Genomic DNA, 21,503 nt, shown 5'->3' on the forward strand with positions numbered 1-21,503 from the left:
ACATATAAAAGGAATACCATAATGGGCCAACAGATCCCATAGGTGAAATCAGTCCCCGGACCATCCTACAACTCAGCTTCAGCTTGCTTCTGACCACCCAGCAGGTCCCTTCTGCATTTATTTGGTTCATAGTTCCACCAGCTGGTTTCACAACCGATCCATTTGACTTCCTTGGTTCTTTGTTTCTGGGCTTCTCTTCCTTGCAATGCAGTGTATGCCATCTCTTGGTACAGTCATTCTTCAGACTATTATTTTGTCTCAGCTCTGTGACTCCCACATCACAGACAGCCCTCCTAGTAACTGCCCCCTTATCCTTTTTTGATTTTTTAAATGTTTATATTTTTTTGAGACATGGTCTCACTCTGTTGCCCAGGCTGGAGTGCAGTAGCACGAACATGGCTCACTGCAACCTTGACCTCTTAAGCTCGTGATCCTCCCACCTCAGCCTCCTAAGTAGCTGGGACCACAGGTGCATACCACTACATCTGGCCTTATATTTTTTAAATTTTCACAGAGACAGGGTCTCACTATATTGCCCAGGCTGATCTCGAACTCCTAGGCTCAAGTGATCCTTCTGCCTTGGCCTCCTAAAGTGCCCAGGCTGATCTTGAACTCCTGGGCTCAAGTGATCCTCCTGCCTCAGCCTTCTAAAGTGCTCGGATTACAGGCATGAGCCACTGCACCAGGCCCCCTTTATCCTTTGATTTAGTCCAAAGCACCAGACTACACGCTTCCTAATCACAGAGGAGCTAGGAAGCATTCTGAAAAGCACTTTCAGGATGACACTACAGATTATAGTGGTTCATAGAAACTAGCTTTTCAGAAAGCTCCCTTATACTCTAAATGTATTATGAAGACCAGAATATGTGCCACTGTGCATTTTCAATCGAGGAAAAACCCCAGTTGGATTTACATGAATCTCTGTACAAATAGTGACGGCCACAGGCTTTTTCCATTCCTTCATGATTCCAGAAAAAACTATTGCAAGAGAGCCCTCCTTGGTCCTTTTTCCTTCTAAGACTATAGACTATCATAGGATGATCTCTTTCACTCTTATGACCTCCTTTATGCAGATTATTAATTAATCTATTAATTCTATCTATTAATGTTAGCCCATTTTTTTTCTCCTGAGTTCCAAATCAGTATTTCCAACAACCTATAGATGTCCTCACACTTGGATGTCCTGTAGGTCCCTCATAAATAGTGTGTTCAAAAGGGAATATACTTTTTTCCTTGCTTCTTACTTATTTCTTTTCTATCCACTATTATAAGAGAATGATACCACTCAGTTATCCAAACCTGAAACATGGCTCAAAGGAGAAGCTTTCCTTTGTCTTATGATCCATGTCCAATCATCTGGTTTTCTTCCTCTTTTTTAACCAAACAGCCTTAAAATCCGACTCTGGGCCAGGCGCGGTGGCTCACGCCTGTAATCCCAGCACTTTGGGGGGCTGAGGTGGGTGGATCACCGGAGGTCGGGAGTTCGAGACCAGCCTGACCAACACGGAGAAACCCCATCTCTACTAAAAATACAAAATTAGCCAGGCGTGGTGGCACATGCCTGTAATCCTAGCTACTCGGGAAGCTGAGGCAGGAGAATAGCTTGAACCTGGGAGGCAGAGGTTGCGGTGAGCTGAGATCGCACCATTGCACTCCAGCCTGGACAACAAGAGCGAAACTCCATCTCAAAAAAAAAAAAAAAAGCTGACTCTGACTTCCAATCTTTGTCGATGCATCAAAATTTTCATTTGAATTATTGTAAGAGCCTCCTAAGTGGACTTCTTGTTTCTAGCATAGCGTCCCTAGGAACTATTCTCCTACCAAGGCCTAAGTGATGTTTCTAAAAAGCAGAACCAATCATGTTACTTCTTTAAGGATTGAGTATAAATTCCTTAGCATGGCAGTCTCCAGTGGAATTTCTACAGGGAAGAGAAGATATTTTAAAAGATGTGTTCATACTGTTTCAAGTTTCTCAGTGAAATTCAAAAGGATACTGCATTAGTCAACAAGTGCAGGTTATGGGGAAAGGAAGCAATCCTAGAATATGAGGAGCCTCAGCTATGAAAAACTTAATTGCTAATCTAGAAACTGATGCTGCTGCAAGTCATGTAATTCAATTGGAGGACCAGATTAAGAAAGTACAGAATTCAGAGGAAAAAGTACAAAAGATGTAATTATGAGAGCAAAGAGAGCATACAAGAATAGTCCTAAGGGAAACAGAATGAACATATACCATTCCTCATGAAGAAAACAGAATAGATGAAAAAAATAATTAAATAGAAGAAGAAAACTGTTCTTCATCTGAAGAAAAACGTTGGTCTTCAGATTATAATGGCTAACTAAGTTGCAGGCAGGATTAAACAAAGACAGATATAGACATTTCCTGGTGATATTTCTAAACTCAAAGAATAACAAGAAATGCTTATAAGCACCTCAAAGAAAAGTCTAATTACCTACAAAGGAAAGAGAATCAGATTGGCTTTGAATGTCTCATCTGCAACCCTAAATAGAAATTGAAAAAGTAGAGCAATTTTATAGAGCTCTGAGAGAAAGGGATTGGGTCCTTTGAATTTTTTTTTTTAATTTAGAGACAAGGTCTCACAACATTGCCCAGACTGGTCTTGAACTTCTGAGCTCAAGGGATCCTCTTGCCTCAGCCAGAATTCTGAGAAGCTGAGATTATAGGCACACAGCACTGCACCTGGCAGGTCCTTTGAATTCTATATGCATCAAAATTAAAAGGCATTTTCAGATGTCATAACCAAAAAGTTTTAATGATAATGAGATTTTTATTATTTATTAGATTATTGAATAAAAATCTAGGATGTAGGGTAGAATATGGGGAAAAAATATACTGTTTGAAGTTCATATACATGTATATGTTTATTCTGGAATATAAAATATGTATATGAATAGTAGCAGGATATAAATAAAACAGATTTTAAATAATTGGTAAAAAGGTAAACACTAGCAGAATGTAAATAAAACTTAGGTTCTCAGTAATTAGAGAAAAAAGAACAAAGAAAATATCACAGAAAGAAATAACCAATAAATGGAAAACAAAGTAAGATAATATAAATATGACCAAACATTCCAGTTATGACAATTAATAAGAATGACTTAAATTTAACTATTACAACACTGAGACTTTCAGATGGGTGAAAAATGCAAATAGCTGCATTTTACAGAAACACACATAAAATGGACAGAAAGGTTGAATATAAAAGAATAGGTTTAAGCGCAAGTCCTATCAAACTTACGGGATAAAAGCCCCTTGTGATTTAATAGGATATTTGAAATTGGAATATTTAGAAATAATCCTAATTCATTTTGTAATTTTAGCACAATCCAAGCCTAGCTAAATTCCAGAACAAAAAGTAAACTTTAAACCAAACTCACTTGTGACTATAGATGCAAAAATTCTATTTTAAATGTTATCAAGTCAATTCCAAAGGTAGCCCATAATATACCATACATACGTAAAGCTTATTCTGCAAATGTCAGAATGGTTCGACATTGGAAAACTAATGTAATTCATTCACTGAAAAGTGAACCTGATAAATGCCGCAATGGCATTTGATAAAATTTAATATCTATTCCTATTTATTTACTTACTTAAACAAATTATTCTACAACTTCTATGGTAGCCTCACATTTGTATTCCAAGCTTCTATTAGCACTGGAGACCAGTCCAAACCCTTGGCCGTTGGTTGTAACCCTGTACTCATCTGTACTCCATCTAACTTGTCCCCTAGGACCTAGGTCCTGAATCCTGCATCCCAGCCTTGGGCAAAGGATCAGTTGAGCCAGATCACCTTCCCACTATGTAATAACAAATCCATACTGTGTCTGAGTTGTTGCCTACTCTATACACCCACCATCAGATTGGATCCCTTGAGCAGACATCTGCTTAAATCAGAGCCAATGTTTCCTTGTCTTAGGTACCTCCCAGGAGTTAGTTCCCAAGCCATGGCCCCACTGCTCTGGGCTGAATGCCCATTTCCTTCTAGTACAACAGCCTTGGCAGTGGGGCCACGTGGGTGATGACTCTTAGCTGGCTCATCTCAAGTCCCTTCTTCTATTGCTAAGGACAATCATGAAGAAAGAAGATTAAGCTGTAGCGATAGAATGTTCAGTAAAAAATATGAAAATGATAAATGCCGATAAACTCACTACTCTAGACAGAGGCCATTTCTGACTTGATTATCTGCAATGTTATCAAATAACAATGTTCAGCTTATCTTTGGTATAGTTTTCCCCATTCCTCCAATTTCTCAATCTCCAACTTCTAAAGAAGACAACTAGACTATAAACTCCCTGAGGCCAAGGAAGATTTGCTGTGTTCACTGTTGCATTCCCAATGGGTTTTGAATAAAGGCTTGTTACTGGAGAAAGGCACTTACCTTGAGCTTTGCAATCTGCCCCACGACTGAGCCCACAGCTCCAGCTGCTGCATTAACCATCACTGTTTCTCCACCCTTCACACCACAGATTTCAAGTAGGCCAAAGTAGGCAGTCAGGCTAAAGGAAGAAAATTAAGGATATATGAATAGAGTTGTTTCTTTCCTCTATAACTCATTTATATATATCTTGAAAGCCTTCTCAGTGGCCCAGTGCCATGGGTCCAAGTAAAAGACAAAAATATGGAAATAAATATTGCCAGCCACTGTTGCTTTACTTCCTCCATCTCTACTGTCAGATAGGAATAAAGGTGATGTGAACTAGGGAGGGAAGGGAGAGTTGGCTAGAAAGGGGCTGTATCCTGTCCATTCACAGGCCAAATTTCAGGGGCAAAAGATGGAATATCTTTCTCAAACTTTGGGGATTCAAGAAGAGAGAGCTGTGCCTCATTCCCATATAAGTTCTATGTAGATGATGAGCTTCATGGGAGAAGCCCCCATGTTATCATGGCGACATAGCCACAGAGTAGCTACAATGCTGTGATATTAGGCATGAGAGGGTCACAGGGAGCATCTGGAGCTTTCCATGGCTCCAAAGTGGTATGGAAGACCTTCTGAAACTTCCCCGTATTACCCCAAGTAAGATGTCAAAGTTAGCTTGCAGGAAAAGAGCTACTGGACCTACCAAGATGCAGCACTGGCAGTACTGATGGGGACTGGGTGAAGACACCACCGCATCTCATTGGATTGCGAGTTTGGAAGGTGATATGATTGAAGACTTTCTTCACAACCAAAGTTTCCTCGTGTCTCCCTTCACCTCTTCTCCCCTACACCTGGCTCACAGTCCAGAGGGAATGACAGGTAACAGAGGAGAATAGAGAGGAAGAGCTCTCATCCGTAGAGGGTACAGGGCGGGCAGGAAAGACCAAGAAGTGCTGGAATTGTTTAGTGCCCACTAATTGAATGTAAGAAGGTATTAAGCATCCTCTACTTTCACAATGATGTCCTTGGCAGTGGCAATTTTGAGGAGTTCAAATTCTGAGTGAAATATGAATTTGGGGTACATAGGAGTTGTTTTTGTTTAGAGGTGACCATTTGGCACTGTATATATATTTCCATTTCATTCCTCAGAAGACCTTCAAAGTTGTAAAAAAGGAAAGGGAAGGAAGGGTGGGAAGAAGGAAAGGGGGAAAGGATCTCAAAACTTAGAGAAAGGAAGTAACTTTGAGCAGGAGACCAGCTTAAGACCAGTATAGATCAAGATCAAGAAGTTGTTGTTGTCCCCCTTCTACTGACACTGAACTTGTATTATCCCTTGGAGCTTTGCAACAACCGCAGGGAGAAGAAAAAAGAAATCCTGAGTTTTAAATTTGAAATGATGTGAGAAATCACTGAATTTAACTGAGGTTTTCTCTTATTACACTAGCCAAAAGGAGGGCTTGAGGTAGAAATGAAGTTCAGTAGTGGAAAATGTTAAGCTATATTTTTGCAGACCTGAATCTCAGCCAATAAAATCCAGACCCATTATAGTGATTGTTAAGCCACTTGCAGAATTTCAGACAAATTCATGTAAAGTTATTTCTGCATTAAAAAAAAAAACTACATGTTGACATTACTTAGCTTACACAGCCTCTGACTATATTTGGGGCCCATGAGAGGCTGGCATTGAATAGAAGGCAGTGAGAGGCACAGGCAGCATTTTTTTCTAAGAATCCAAATATCTAACATGCATTCCTTAGTGGCTTGGATCAGATGAATAAGAAATATACATAAGTGAATAAATTATCTTCTCTTTCAGGAGTCAGGATCTCCTAATATATTACAAATTACCTTCTCAACAACCAAAGTTTCCTCATGTCTACCTTCACCTCTCCTACCCCACACCTGGCTCACAGTGCAGAGGGAAGGATGAGCAGGATAACGAAGGAGGAGGAAGAGCTCTCACCCATAGAGGGTACAGGGCAGGCAGGAAAGAATAAGAAGTGCTGGAATTATTTAGTGTCCACTAATTGAATGTAAGAAGGTATTAATTTTAGTAAACATTAATTACTAAAATGTTTATTCATGCCGGGCATGGTGGGTCTAACTGAAATTTTGTATCCTTTGACCAACATCTCCCCAACCCTTCAGCCTCCCGGCCCCTGATAACTATCATTCTACTCTCTAATTCTATGAGTTCAACTTTGTTAGATTCCACACTGAAGTGAAATAATGTGGTATTTGCCTTTCTGTGCCTGGCTTATTTCACTTAACATAAAGTCCTCCAATGTTGTCACAAATGACAAGATTTTCTTCTTTTTTAAGGCTGGATAGTATTCTGCTATGTATATAGACCACGTTTTCTTTATCCATTCACCCATTGATGGACACTTAGGTTGATCTGCCATCTTGGTCCTGCCCTCTTCTCTGATCAGCCCCTGAGCCTATCATGCATCAAATATCTTCCTGTTGACCAAGTTCTGAACAAACCATTTTGGAAAATCAGAGTGTCAGACATTCAAACAAATGGAATATATCCATGAAACTCACCCTGGCATGCCAACTGTCCCCAGAGCCAAAGACAGTGGTATTGTGTCTGGCCACTCTGTCAGCAGCTTTTCCAGATCTTTCCCATCAGAAATGGAGTGCGTTGTCCAGCCTGGAGAAGCCAGTACAATAGTTCCTTTTGGTAGGGCTACATTTTTACTTTCCACAACTCTGAAAGATAAAGCACATTAAGGCATTAAGGCATGTGACATGTCTTCCCTTTCAAGGGAGTCAGGATGCTGTGTGGTTAGTGTTGACAAAAGTGCACTGAGGTTGATATTCCACAACTGATAGTCCACCACCCCTCTCCATCTTAATTCTTAGCCATCGGCATAGGGGTCACCAGAGAACTCTCAACTGGCCCAGCCACTTGAGGAAGGAGTGGCTCATGGGGTGAGGAGCGCCTGTTCTCACCCACATCTCTTCCTTTTAAGCAAGAGGCCTCTGTCCTGTGGCTCAAGGTGACCTGGACACTAGCCTTCTCTTCTTCAGGTGTCGCTCTCTTTCCCTTAGCCTTCCACTTTCCAGAATCGTTGAGATTTTCCTCTCTACTGTCCCTTTCACTCAAAATATAAGCATGCTCAAGTCTGCCATCTTATAATCCCATCCCTCCCCTAGCTCCTTGCCCCTTCGTCTTCCTTTTTCAGCCAAACTTCTTCACTTCCCATTCATGTGCTAACCCGCTGCAACCTGCCTTCCACCCCTACTACTCCACTAAGGTCACAACAACCTCCTGAGCACAAAATCCAGTGGATATTCCTTAATCATTGTCTGATTTTACTTTTCCACTCTCTCTCTCTCTCTCTCTCTATATATATATATATATGCATACTTTTTTTTTTTAAGATGGAGTCTTGCTCTTGTCGCCCAGGCTGGAGTGCAGTGGTGTGATTTCAGCTCACTGCAACCTTCACTTCCTGGGTTCAAGCAATTCTCCTGCCTCAGCAGCTGGGATTATAGGCGCCCACCACAACAACACCAGACTAATTTTTGTATATTTAGTAGGGACAGGGTTTCACCATGTTAGCCAGGCTGATCTCGAACTCCTGACCTCAGGTGATCCACCTGCCTTGGCCTCCCAAAGTGCTAGGATTACAGGTGTAAGCCACTGCGCCCAGCCTACCCTTTTCCACTCTATTAACACAGGGTCACCCAAAAGTCTTCCCTCATTGGTTCCCAGGGTACTGATCTCTGCTGGCTTTTTGCCTCCTCCTCTAAGCTGCACCCTTTCTGTCTCATTTACTGATTCCCTTTTCTTCATCCAACTCTTTATCCTTCTTTACCATCTTTCCTTCCCAGATCATAAAGTTATATAATGCATATTTATTCTAGAAAATTTTAAACATATAAAACAAAAATATCAGTTCTAATCTGACAGCACAAAGACAACTGCTAACATTTGGGTGTATTTTCTGTCAATCTTAATGGTATATTTAAAAATGTATACTATATGTATGTATTTATTTATTTATTTTTTGAAACAGAGTCTCGCTCTGTTGCCTGGCTGGGTGCAATGGTGCCATCTCGGCATACTGCAACCTCTGACTCCCGGGTTCAAGCAGTTCTCCTGCCTCAGCCTCCCAAATAGCTGGGAATACAGGCGCGTGCCACTACGCCCAGCTAATTTTTGTATTTTTAGTAGAGACGGGGTTTTGCCATATTGGGCAGGATGGTCTTGATCTCTTGACCTCGTGATCCGTCTGCCTCAGCCTCCCAAAGTGCTGGGATTACAGGCGTGAGACACCGCGCCCGGATGTATTATACATATTTACATAATTGAAGTAATGTTATATGTTTTATAACCAATAATTTATCTGTCAACATTACGTTGGTCTATATAATTTATACTTTTTTCCATGTTAGTAAGAATCCTTCAAACAATGTAATGAATTTAATTACACCCCCATTATTAGGATACTTTCAGTATTTTTCCTAATGTTAATTATTTTTTTCCTTTTTTCTGAGTCTGCTTGCTAGGAAATATATTTTAATTAATATTCATAAACGTGATTATTATTTTTTCTTTTTTTTTTTTTTGAGACACAGTCTCTCTCTGTTGCTCAGGCTGGAGTGTAGTGGTGCGATCATGGCTCACTGCAACCTCAACCTCCCCTGAGCTCAAATGATCCTCCCACCTTGGCCTCCTGAGTAGCTGGGACCGAGTAGCTGGGACCACAGTAGCACACTACCACATCCAGCTAATTTTTTTTTTTTTTTTTTGAGACGGAGTCTCGCTCTATTGCCCAGGCTGGAGCACAGTGGCGTGATCTCAGCTCACTGCAAGCTCCGCCTCCCCGGTTCACACCATTGTCCTGCCTCAGCCTCCCGAGTAGCTGGGACTACAGGTGCCCACCACACCAAACCCGGGTAATTTTTTGTATTTTTAGTAGATATAAATATACATGTATTTGTATATTTAGTAGAGATGGGGTTTCACCTGTTAGCCAGGATGGTCTCCATCTCCTGACCTTGTGATCTGCCCGCCTCGGCCTCCCAAATTGCTGGGATTACAGGCGTGAGCCACGTGCCTGGCCAATTTTTTTTTTTTGAGACAAGAGTTTCAATCTGTTGCCCAGGCTGGAGTCCAATGGCGAGATCTCAGCTCACTGCAACCTCCGCCTCCCAGGTTCAAGCAATTCTCGTCCCTTGGCCCCCTGAATAGCTAGGATTACAGGCGCCCACCACCACGCCTGGCTAATTTTTGTATTTTTAGTAGAGACGAGGTTTCACCATGTTGCCCAGGCTAGTCTTGAACTCCTGACCTCAGGTGATCCACCCACCTCAGCCTCCCAAAGTACTGAGATTACAGGCGTGAGCCACTGTGCCCAGACTTTTTTGTATTTTTTTGTAGAGACGGGGTTTACCACGTTGTCCAGGGTGGTCTCAAACTCCTAGATCCACCCACCTCGACCTCCTGAAGTGCTGGGATTATAGGAATGAGCGACTGCACCTGGCTCAATACTGTTGCCTTAGTCAGGATTTCTATAAATGGTATTACTAGGTCAAAGAGTATTAAAACATTTGTAACTCTTGCTGCATATTGCCAAATTCCCAAATTCCTTTCTAGAAGGTTGTGCCAACTTCCACTTCCACCATCAATGTATGAGTGTATTATCTCCATTACTATTATATTTTCAAAAATAGTTTGCCAATCCAGCAAACACAAATACATGTTCATTTCTTTAATTATTAGCAAGAAACGTATAAGACCTATATGAAGAAAACTGTTAATGGGATATAAGACAAAATGAATAAATGGAGAAGCATACCTTGTGTTTGGAGAGAGAAATTGTAAAGATGTCAGTTTCCTCTAAATAAATCTGTAAGGTCACTGAAATTCCAGTAAAGATCCATAGACGATTTCTACCAATGGTATTATAATAACTGGCTAGTCATTGAGACACAAAATTTAAAAAAATAAAGAATGAGATGTTTGGTTTTTTTAAGAGACAGGGTTTTGCCATGTTTCCCAGGCTGGTCTTGAACTCCTGAATTCAAGCAATCCATCCACCTTGGCCTCCCAAAGTGTTAGGATTACAGGCGTGAGCCACTGAAGCTGCCCCCACTCATTATTCTAATATAAAAGCTAAATGACTCAAAATTTTTGTCATAAAAAATTAAAGTATAAAATACAGAAAACATGAATACTTTTTTTTTTTTGAGATGGAGTCTCACTCTATCATCCAAAGCTGGAGTGCAATGGCGCGATCTCTGCTCACTGCAACCTCCTCCTTGGTTCAAATGATTCTCCTGCCTCAGCTTCCCAAGTAGCTGGGATTACAAGCGCCCACCACTGTGCCCAGCTAATTTTTGTATTTTTAGTAGAGATGAGGTTTCGCCATGTTGTCCAGGCTGGTTTTGAACTCCCGACCTCAAGTGATCCGCCCACCTTGGCCTCCCAAAGTGCTGGGATTGCAAGCGTGAGCCACTGCCCCCGGCATGAATAAATATTTTAGTAATTATGGAGTGGGGAACCCCTTTCTAAGCATGAGATGAAACCAAAGGACCATAATTATAAATACTTACAATTTTATCACATAAAATTTTAAACTGTAATTGGACACAGAAGAAATATCAACAAAGGCCCAAACATTTGCAACACTAATATCCTGAACATACGAGAAGCTTTTACAAATCAATATAACGAATGATAAGACCTAAAGGAAAAGGGCAAAGGATATAAACAGATAATCCACAGAAGAAAATTGAGAATTAACTTACAAAAAGAAGGTCAACATCACTAATAATAAAAGAAATGCAAACTAAACTAAGCATAAAGTATCATTATATTTATCTCAGGTTGCCGAGACTGATGATGAACAGTATAAGGGAAACAGGTTAATACTATTTGTGGGAGTGAACATTCATACATTTTTTTTTTTGAGACCAAGTCTCACTCTGTTGCCCAGGCTGGACTGCAGAGGTGTGATCTCAGCTCACTGCAACCTCTGCCTCCTGGGTTCAAGCAATTCTCATGCCTCAGCCTCCTGAATAGCTAGGATTACAGATGCCCATCACCACACCTGGCTAATTTCTTTATTTTTAGTAGAGATTGGGTTTTGACATGTTGGCCAGGCTGGTCTCAAATTCCTGACCTCAAGTGATCCTCCTGCTTCAGCCTCCCAAAATGCTGGGATTACAGGCATGAGCCACTGCGTCCAGCCTTCATGTAATTTTTCTGAAGAACAATTTGTCATCACCTTTTCAGTTAAAAATATACATTTCTTTGGGTCTAGAATTTATACTTCTGGGAACTTAATGTAAAGCAATACTCATCCAAGAGGGTAAAGAATACACAGATACACACGTATACATACATACATGCTCCTGGAAGAATTATTTGTCATAGAAAAAATTGAAAACAGTTGTTATCAGTAGTAGATTAGTTAAAAATAACTTGCAGCTATTAAAAGGTAGGTGGTATATTCATATACTGTCAATGAAAGATATCCTTAACATAATAATTGATAGCAGTTTTCTGAAGGTCATATAATTCCATTTAAAATTTATATATAGGCCGGGCACGGTGGCTCATGCCTGTAGTCCCAAAACTTTGAGAGGCCAAGGCGGGCGGATCACCTGAGGTCGGGAGTTCGAGACTAGCCCAACCAACATGGAGAAACCCCATCTCTACTAAAAATACAAAATTAGCCGGGTGCGGTGGTGCATGCCTGTAATCCCAGCTACTTGGGAGGCTGAGGCAGGAGAATCAGAATCACTTGAACCTGGGAGGTAGAGGTTGCGGTGAGCCAAGATTACGCCATTGCACTCCAGCATGGGCAACAAGAGTGAGACTCCGTCTCAAAAAAAAAATAATAATAAAATAAAATGAAATTTATTTATAAAAGTATGTACACTGGACAATTTTTCTTTTTCTTTTTTTTTTTTTTTTTTTGAGATGGAGTCTCACTCTGTCGCCCAGGCTGGAGGGCAGTGGTGCAATCGGCTCACTGCAACCTCCACCTCCCAAGTTCAAGCAATTCTCCTGCCTCAGCCTCCCGAGTAGCTGGGATTACAGGCATGCACTACCACACCCAGTTAATTTTTGTTTTTTTAGTAGAGACGGGGTTTCACCATGTTGGCCAGGCTGGTCTCGAACTCCTGACCTCAAGTGAACTGCCCACCTCAGCTTCCCAAAGTGCTGGGATCACAGGCGTGAGCCACTGCTGGCCCACAATTTTTGAAATAATAATATATTAACAATAGTTGTCTTTAAGGTTCAGATGACAGGGGAACTTTCAGTTTCTAAGATAAAAATTTTGTTTTATTTGAATTTTTACAATAATCATTGTAGGCAGACCCCCTGAAACTATTGCTACGGAATAAAAGATGAAATGCTCCTGATTATTGTGAATACAAAGTTGCATGCAGGATTGTGTAAAGACAATGCCAGGTTGGACTGCCAGAATGAGCCAACAGCGTGTGATGTGCTTCCCCCTGCAGAGAGCCTATGACCAGACATGCAGTCAGGGAGGTTTCACATCACCAAGATTCCTATGCCAGAAATGCAGATTTTCATAGCTCTGGGAATGGAATGCAACCCTTGTGGAGAGCCTATAAATGGACGCATGTGGGGGCACCTGTCCATATGGATAAGATAGGGCTGTAAATGCCCTCATCTTGCCACAGCTCTTCTAGCCCTCTTTACGGTTAAGGCATACTCCCTTCTGAGAATTTCTGGTCTAACTGATTGTCTAGCTTCACCTCCTGTTTCTATGGATTGTTTGTAACCAGCTTTTGCTGCAACTGTTACTGCTGATTAATATCTTGCTAATCATAGGTTATGGAAAGACTGTGTTTCTGTTTTAAGGCTCTGTTAGAAATTACTGATGCACACACTATATTGTAAATTCTTATCTCTGTATACTGTACTTCTGCATACAGATGTATGTTAAAGAATTACTTCATCCCCATGTGACCATCTCACCTCATAATCAAATGACCCTAAATCCCTCACTAACCTACCCCCGCCCTCACTAAACTTAATAATAAATGCGGGTATATTCAGTGCTTTGGTGGCACCACGGAACCAGAAGGCGGTGACGCCCCTGGACCCAGCTTTCACTATCTTGTGTGTGTCTATTATTTCTCAACCTGCCGATCCACCTGGGAACAAAGAGAGAACCCTGTTGCATTGTGGGCTGCTGGCCAGATCCCGCAATAAATCATGACCTGGACAAATACTTTTTTTTTTTTAGTAATTAAAAGTAAGGATGGCAAAGTGAAGCTGAAAAAATGACAATTTCACATCCTTCCCTCCTTTCCAGCTAGTTAGGAAGGAGACAGAATTTCCCAAGTTGATTCCAAGATCACACAGTGAGTCAACAACATAGGCTGAAGAAATTGTAGGAGCAATGGACAGAGACAGGACCCAGCAGGAGGTAAAGAGGAGACATATTTTCCAAGCACTGGGACAAATGGAAATAATTACTTGGCCACTTGCTGCCCCATCATTGTATCACCTTCCTTCAATCTTTTGGCTGCCACTCTGCAAAAAAAAAAAAAAAAAAAAAAAAAAAAAAATAGGTAAATAAATAAAATTCCATTCTTAATACATAGGAGCATCGGGGGACTGTTTTGAGTTTCAAGCCAAATGAAAAACTGCTGGATAAGTGTATGCGGCAATAAAACCCAGACAGATGAAGGGCTACAACTAGGTGAGATACAGGAGGAAAGCTGTTAGAGGAAGTTCTGCTCTGTGACCTCAGATAAGCACTCTGATTGGATTTTTTTATGAGTGAACACAAAAGTCTTACTGCCATGTTCAAGTAAAGATGAATTTCTACCAATGACTTTAAAAATAGAACCCAGGCACCACTGGGTAGTTATTACCCAAAACACTAGCTACGCAAAAAGATGCCAATTAACATTTTTAAACTGTATTTTCCACTTAAGATTTGAATCTTTATCAATCAGCTATGAAAAAAATGTAAAAGAATGATGGCTATGTTATTTACCGAGGCAAAAAAATACTGAGGACTTAGTAGTCAATAAAGGCTTTTGATTTCCTCCCCTCCCTGAGTTGTCTGCTGAGTATATAAGTTTGAGTCAACCACAGATTCACCTACATTAAAAGAATACAGGTAAATGGAAGGCCAGAAAAACTGATTTTAGTCTTAGCATCTTCCTCTATCCAAATTACTTGCCAGTAGTGAAATGCACAAATTGGGGTTTGGCTTCTTTTTTCTTTATGAGACGGGGTCTTGCTCTGTTACCTAGGCTGGAGTGCGGTGGCAAGATCTTGGCTCGCTGCAACCTCTGCCTCCCTGCAACCTCTGCCTCCCAGGCTCAAGTGATCTTTCTGCCTCACCCTTCTGAGCAGCTGGGACCACAGGCCTGCGCCACCAGGCCTGGCTACTTTTTTTGTATTTTTAGTAGAGACAGGGCTTTGCCATGTTGCCCAGGCTTTATTTTTTTCTTTTAAGGTTTTTTTTTTCCTTCTTTTTTTTTTTTTTTCTGGAAGTAATTCTGTTGAGCAGTGAAAGGCAAATTGTGCAGAGCAGATAGGAGATGGTTGGGACAAAGGGACTGAGGTGATCCCTCACTAAGCTACTTAGACCTTTGCCTGCAAAAGACGAGCGTGCATGAATCTTATCACTGATACTGGCTGGGAGAAACAGAAGGAAAGTGACAATGTTTTAAGTCAGTTGGATATTTTAGAAGATGAACTACTTCCAGATAGCATTTAACACAGCATTAGCATTTTGAGGGGCGAAATAAATAATACCTCATGTAGGGATCCACGGTGAGGAACAAAGCTTCAAGCAGGACCTCTACAAAATAAAGCATTCCATAGGCAATTAGAAACTCAAGGCCTGAGAGGAACAATAGACACTGAGCACCACTAGACAGGAGGGGTGAGACAGGGACAAGGGTTGAGAAACCACCCATGAGGTACCATGCTCACTGCCTGGGTGACAGGATCATTCGTACACCAAACCTCAGCCACATGCAATTTACCCATATAACAAGCCTGCATATGTACCCCTAAAACTAACATAAATGTTGAAGAAAAAAACGGAACTCAAGGCCTGATGCCTTCGTTTTTGGCATTCTTTTTTTTTTTTTTTTTTTGAGAGGGAGTCTCGCTCTGTCACCCAGGCTGGAGTGCAGTGGCGTGATCTTGGCTCACTGGAAGCTCCGCCTCCTGGGTTCATGCCATTCTCCTGCCTCAGCCTCCTGAGTAGCTGGGACTACAGCCGCCTGCCTCACAACGCCCAGCTAATTTTTTGTATTTTTAGTAGAGACGGGTTTCACCGTGTTAGCCAGGATGGTCTCAATCTCCTGACCTAGTGATCCATCGTCTCGGCATCCTAAAGTGCTGGGATTACAAGCGTGAGCCACTGCGACCGGCCTCTTTTTTTTTTTTTTTTTTTTTGAGACCTAGTCTTGTTCTGTTGCCCAGGCTGGAGTGCAGTGGCTTGATCTCTGAACACTGCAACCTCCATCTCCCAGGTTCAAGTGATTCTCATGCCTCAGCCTCCTGAGTAGCTGGGATTACAGGCGCCCACCACTGCACCCAGCTAATTTTTGTATTTTTAGTAGGGACGGGGTTTCACCATGTTGGCCAGGCTGGTCTCGAACTTCTAACCTCAAGAGATCTGCCCACCTTGGCCTCCCAAAGTGCTGGGATTACAGGCATGAGCCACCATGCCCAGCCTGTTTTTGGTATTCTAAAAAACCACAGATAATACTTCTGCTTCAGGAATGTCTTCCCATCTGTGCTTCTATCGCAGAGACAAGAAGGGGTTCTCATTTTTGGCCCAGCCCAGTTAATAATAATAATAATAATGGTAATGCTATTTACTCAGCACTCATTCCATGCTTTACACGAATTATGTCATTTGATATTCAACAAATATTGCTTCCATTTTAGGTTAGGCTTAGTTACTTGCCCAAGGCCACATTTAAACCATTATGTTACAGTGCTCACCATATGGCTTCATCGCCAGCCCCAGTTGGTGTGAGAGAACATGCATTTTGCTGGAGTGACTCTCATGTATTCATTCTTTGGAATTTTGAATTTGAGTCATGGCCATCATAGCTTAGATGGGACTGATCACTTTGTCATGCTACTTGATTGCGTCCCCTTTTCTCAAATGCTTACCTACCTGTAAACACTCCTTAGAGACTCATCTTTATTTATTTATTTTTTTTGAGATGGAGTCTTGCTCTGTCGCCCAGGCTGGAGTGCAGTGGCGCGATCTTGGCTCACTGCAATCTCCACCTCCCGGGTTCATGCTATTCTCCTGCCTCAGCCTCCCAAATAGCTGGGAGTACAGGTGCTCACCACCACACCCAGCTAATTTTTTGTATTTTTAGTAGAGATGGGGTTTCACTGTGTTAGCCAGGATGGTCTCGATCTCCTGACCTTGTGATCTGCCTGCCTCAGCCTCCCAAAGTTCTGGGATTACAGGTGTGAGCCGCCACACCCAGCCGAGACTCATCTTATAGTCTGAACTCTTCGTATAGCTACTGGGCAGTGCTTACCTCACTGCCATCATCAGGCTTATGAGGATAGAGAGGACATCCTCCCCATAGTCTGGTCAAAGCCATGAAGAGTAATGCACTCAAGCATGAATTTCAGTTATCAATGAAAGCAGGGGAATCCTGCCATGTGACATCGAGGATTCACACTGAGAACCCTGGAAAGGTCTTTGTGGCAGATTGCAAAATGGCCACAAATAACTCCCACCCTTGTGTGCTTGTCTCCTTGCCACTTCTCCCATCAAGAAATCTATTTTCTGCCTCTCGAATCTGAGCTTGGTTTTGTGATTTGCTTTGACCATGGGATATTAGCAAACGTGGCACAAGTAGAGGCTTGAAAAGGGCTTGCACAGCGGGGCATGGTGGCTCACACCTTTAATCCCAGCACTTTGGGAGGTCAAGGCGGGCTGATCATCTAAGGTCAGGAGTTCAAGACCAGCCTGGCAAAGATGGGAAACCCCGTCTCTACTAAAAATGCAAACATTAAGGCCGGGCACTGTGGCTCACGCCTGTAATCCCAGCACTTTGGGAGGCCGAGGCAGGTGGATCACCTGAAGTCAGGAGTTCGAGACCAGCCTGGCCAACACAGTGAAACTCCATCTCTACTAAAAATACAAAAAAAAAAAAAAATTAGCCGGGCGTGTTGGTGGGCGCCTGTAATCCCAGCTACTCAGGTGGCTGAGGCAGGGAGAATTGCTTGAACCTGGGAGGCAAAGGTTGCAGTGAGCCGAGATTGCTCCACTGCAATCCAGCCTGGGTGACAGAGCAAGACTCCATCTCAGAAAAAATACAAAAATTAGGGGGGCATGGTGGCGCACACCTGTAATCCCAGCTACTCAGGAGGCTGAGGCAAGAGAATCGCTTGGACCCAGAAGGCAGAGGTTGCAGTGAGCCAAAATCATGCCACTGCACTCCAACCTGGGCAACAGAGCAAGACTCTGTCTCAAAAAAAAAAAAAAAAAAAAAAGAGAAAGTGCTTGCACATTGGAGCTTGCCAACTACTGCTGCTCTAGATCTATGGGGCCACTATAAGAATAGAGCTCAAGCTAGCCTGCTAGAAAGGCCACATAGATGAGAACTAAGGCATGCACCCCAACAGAAAGCCTGCTAATCAGCAGACATGTGAGCAAGGCCCATCCTAAATTAACCATTTACCCCAGATGAGACCTAAGAAGAACCACCCAGCTTAACTCAGCCCAAATTGCCAACCCAAAGAATTGTGAACTAATAAACCGTTGTTGCTTAAAGTCACTAAACTTTGGGGTAGTTTGTTATGCAGCAAAAGCTAACTGATACAGTCCCTTCCAACTCTGAAATATTTTTAGTATGACTTACCTCCATTTTTTAAGGGTGGGAGCTCAGCTGTCTTCAACTCAAAGTCACTATTAGTAGGATAGCCAACAAAGTGCTTCTTCAGGGTCCATGTCTTAGTACGAACCATCCTGAAGCTCCTAGAACACAGTAAATATGTAGTCAACTGCCATGAAGTGACTGCATTCTAACAGTTCTCTAGCCGTCAAACTGAGACCAGACAGCACAATTACAATATCCTCAAATCCCATCATTATCATATCATGCCAACCACATTCATTTAACATTTACTATGTTTCTGGTGCTGTGCTAAGCACTTCATATAGATTACCTCATTTTATCCTTATAACTTCCCTATAAGATAGACATTAGTATCATTGCCAGTGTACGGATGAGGAAACTGAGGTTTAAAGAAATCTTCAAGACAAGGAAAAAATATAAAACAACAAAGAAATTCTTCCCAGCCACTGCTAGGCTAGAGTTTCTCTACGGCACTGAACAGTTACCGGAAGTGCGAATATTCCATTCCGTTTCTCATCTCACATGGAGTGAATTCTAAGAAAAAGCATCAAACACAAAGAACCCAATAGATAGAAGTCCATGCACCTCTTTCAGATGGAAACAGCCACGCATTTCAAGGCAGTCTCAGAACTCCTGAAAACCACCGGAGGGCGCCGCTGCTCCGCCCCATTTTCAGGTGCGTTTTTTTTTTTTTTAAATACTTTTTTTTCTCTCTTTTCTTGTAGAGAGGAGCCTCACTGTGTTGCCTAGGCGATCCGCCCGCCTCGGTCTCCCAAAGTGCTGGGATTACAGGTGTGAACCACTTGCACTCAGCCATCGGGTGCGAATTTTCTTTGGCCCAGTAGGGATTTGAGTTTAAACTCCACACCAAACCGATTTTGAGCTGAAACGCTGCACCAAAGCAAGGGAAGATGATGAAGGCTGCCCCGAGCTGGGGGTTCAGGATGTTCTGCTTGGACTGAACTCTGCCGAATCACTTGGGACCTGCGCCTTCCCGCGGGTGCATCCGCTACAAACAATCCAGTTACGAAACCATTTGGAGCTGCCAGTGATCTCCCCAGCTCCCCTACCGGTGCCGCGGGAGGGGACACGGTGACCTGGAGGGAGCACTCCCGCATTGCGAGGGAGCCAGGGGGGCGGTCTGATCTGCAGCCCGGGGTTGTTCCTTCTTTTCTTTTTTTAAAATTAAGACTTTTTTTGTGACGGAGTCTCGCTCTGTCGCCCAGGCTGAAGTGCAATGGCGCGATCTCAGCTCACTGCAACCTCCGTCTCCCGGGTTCAAGCGGTTCTCCTGTCTCAGCCTCCTGAGTAGCTGGGATTACAGGCGCCCGCCACCACGCCCAGCTAATTTTTGTACTTTTAGTAGAGACGGGGTTTCCCCATGTTGGCCAGACTGGTCTAGAACTCCTGAGCTCAAATGATTCGCCCGCCTCGACCTTCCATAGTGCTGGGATTACAGGCGTGAGCCACCGCGCCAGGCCCTACGTATCATTTTTACGGTGAGACATTTGCAGTTTACTCTGTTATTTCGAAATACACATTATTGGCTCTAGTCACTCTGCTGTGCAACAGATCTCAGAACCTACTCCTCTCGTCTCTGAACTTCGTACCCTTTGGCCAACAAGCCCCCATTCCCCCCCGAACCCGCTCCCAGCCTCTGGCAACCATCATTCTAGTCGTTATTTCTATGAGTTCAACTTCTTTAGAGTTCACACATCTTTGTCCCTTTCCCCAAAAAAGCAACCGCTGGGCTTCCAAACTCGCTACAAGTCCAGAAGCCCTCCTGGAAAGGGTCTGGCCGCAGAGGGGCCAGGTCCCGGGAAAGTCTCGCCCGCCCGAGGAGGGGGCCTGGCGCGGCGCCCGGCCTTTGCCCGCTCGCCCTTTGCTCCCACCCTCGCCTCCCGCCGCCCGCCGCCCGCTTGCCCATTCCCGAATCCCCACCCCGATCTTTCTTCTTCTACCCTCCCCCAGTTGTGCAGTCCAGCAAGTTCCCTGGCCAGCCCCCTCCCGGGTGCAGGAAGCTACCGGGTGTCCCGGGTTGTAACCAAGCTTTCCTATTCCCTCCGGCGCGCGGCTCCAAGCTCTCCAAGGAACTGCGGGGGCGGGAGGCGTCGGGACGTCGGCTCCCAAGATCCTCCGAGTGCAAGACCCAGCGGTCATTTCGACGTAAGGGGAGGAGGTCTAAGAGCAAACCTCCTCCACTGGGGCGTCTAGAAACTTGGCAGGAAGAAAGCAAGGGGGTTAGAGGAGGGAGAAAAGGGAAGGAAAGAAAGCAGGAGGTCTACTTACAGGAGCCCGAAGGTTCCACTGCCTGGGGAAGGCGGCTGGGACTGCGCAGCCGGGCGCCCGGGGTCCGACTTATGACAGGTCCCAAGAGAGGGTGGGGCCACCCCAGGGCGGGGCTGCTTCTTTAGGGTGAGAGCCCGGCCCCGAAAGGGTCACAGGAGGAAAACCAGGGTCCGGGAAATCTGAGTGCGTTTGTGTGTGTGTGTGCGCGTATCTCTGTGTGCCTATGTGCATGTGCGCGCGCGTATGTGTGCATGTGTGCGTGTGTGTGCGTGCGCGCCCGCGCGCCCGTGTGTGTGCGTGTAGGGGGTTAGGGACTCCTGATAGGAAAATTCCTAACAGAGCTTTGTCCAGCTGACACTGGACCTCCGCCTGGGGTCCTAAGTTGGAGCCCGGCGGAAATATGCCCCGTGGGGGAACCAACCGTGGCATCTGCCAAGCAGGCCGGAAGGGTCCAAAGGCAGGGCCTGGGGCGGCCGCAGCCCTAATAAGCCCCCGGTGCTGGCTCCGATCCCTGGGCTCCCCGTCAGCCCTGCCGCTTGCCCGCAGTGCAAGCTTTCGCCCAGGGCTGCGGTGCAGACACCCTGCCTGTCTGTCCCCAGTCCGCCTGCTGAACACCTACTCGCCTTCCACCAGCCAATTCAAGGTCACCTCTGTGAACCCTTGCCAGACTCCCCCAGGCAGGAGTGAGCACTCTTGCCACTGAGGCACCCCACCCATCACACCCTAGCAAACATCAGGCCTTGACCTGGCTTCTGCAAGGAGAGGTGGTCTCAGGCAGGGGTTGAACGTGAAGCTAAGTCGTTGGTATTAGACGACTGCAGGTTCGAAGCCTGCACCTGCCACTTACTAGTGGTGTAGCTTTCAAAGACTTACTTACCTTCTCCTTGCCTCACTCAGTTCAGCCATCTGCAAGATGGGGATAAGAAGAATGCCTAACTTCCAGTCATTGTGAAGATTCAATGTCTTTAA

The 21,503-nt window shown here is 43.9% G+C and overlaps 1 protein-coding gene across 8 annotated transcripts in view, besides 2 other annotated features; it reads right to left on the bottom strand.

The window, feature by feature from the left end:
• PTGR1 (prostaglandin reductase 1) overlaps positions 1 to 20,579 on the bottom strand; it is a 49,926-nt gene extending 29,347 nt beyond the window's left edge. For 4 of the 8 annotated variants that reach the window (NM_001146109.2, XM_011518394.3, NM_001146108.2 and 1 more), the window contains exons 1-6: positions 20,535 to 20,579; positions 18,249 to 18,364; positions 15,154 to 15,199; positions 13,858 to 13,914; positions 6,930 to 7,097; positions 4,404 to 4,521 (exon numbers count right to left, since the gene is read on the bottom strand). In NM_001146109.2, the coding sequence (NP_001139581.1) occupies positions 4,404 to 4,521; positions 6,930 to 7,097; positions 13,858 to 13,914; positions 15,154 to 15,199; positions 18,249 to 18,354 (495 nt within the window). In that variant the 5' untranslated portion in view covers positions 18,355 to 18,364; positions 20,535 to 20,579. Of the gene's footprint in view, positions 1 to 4,403; positions 4,522 to 6,929; positions 7,098 to 10,195; positions 10,344 to 13,857; positions 13,915 to 15,153; positions 15,200 to 18,248; positions 18,365 to 20,270; positions 20,364 to 20,534 lie in introns of those variants that run through there. The other 4 variants (XM_017014485.3, NM_012212.3, XM_047423010.1 and 1 more) reach the window with 2 other exon arrangements.
• Positions 14,841 to 15,010: an enhancer, noted in NCBI's record as "experimental_105923 CRE fragment used in MPRA reporter constructs". NCBI's record gives its function as "activates a minimal promoter by MPRAs in K562 erythroleukemia cells, with activity observed for both the introgressed and non-introgressed 9:114356274 variant alleles {active_cell/tissue: K562}" and the evidence as "EXISTENCE:reporter gene assay evidence [ECO:0000049][PMID:34662402]".
• Positions 20,430 to 21,002: an enhancer, noted in NCBI's record as "H3K27ac-H3K4me1 hESC enhancer chr9:114361778-114362350 (GRCh37/hg19 assembly coordinates)". NCBI's record gives its function as "activates a minimal SCP1, AML or CMV promoter by ChIP-STARR-seq in naive H9 embryonic stem cells {active_cell/tissue: H9 hESC(naive)}" and the evidence as "EXISTENCE:reporter gene assay evidence [ECO:0000049][PMID:30033119]".

The sequence above is a fragment of the Homo sapiens genome, chromosome 9 (assembly GCF_000001405.40).
Source record: "Homo sapiens chromosome 9, GRCh38.p14 Primary Assembly".
Classification (NCBI taxonomy): domain Eukaryota; kingdom Metazoa; phylum Chordata; class Mammalia; order Primates; family Hominidae; genus Homo; species Homo sapiens.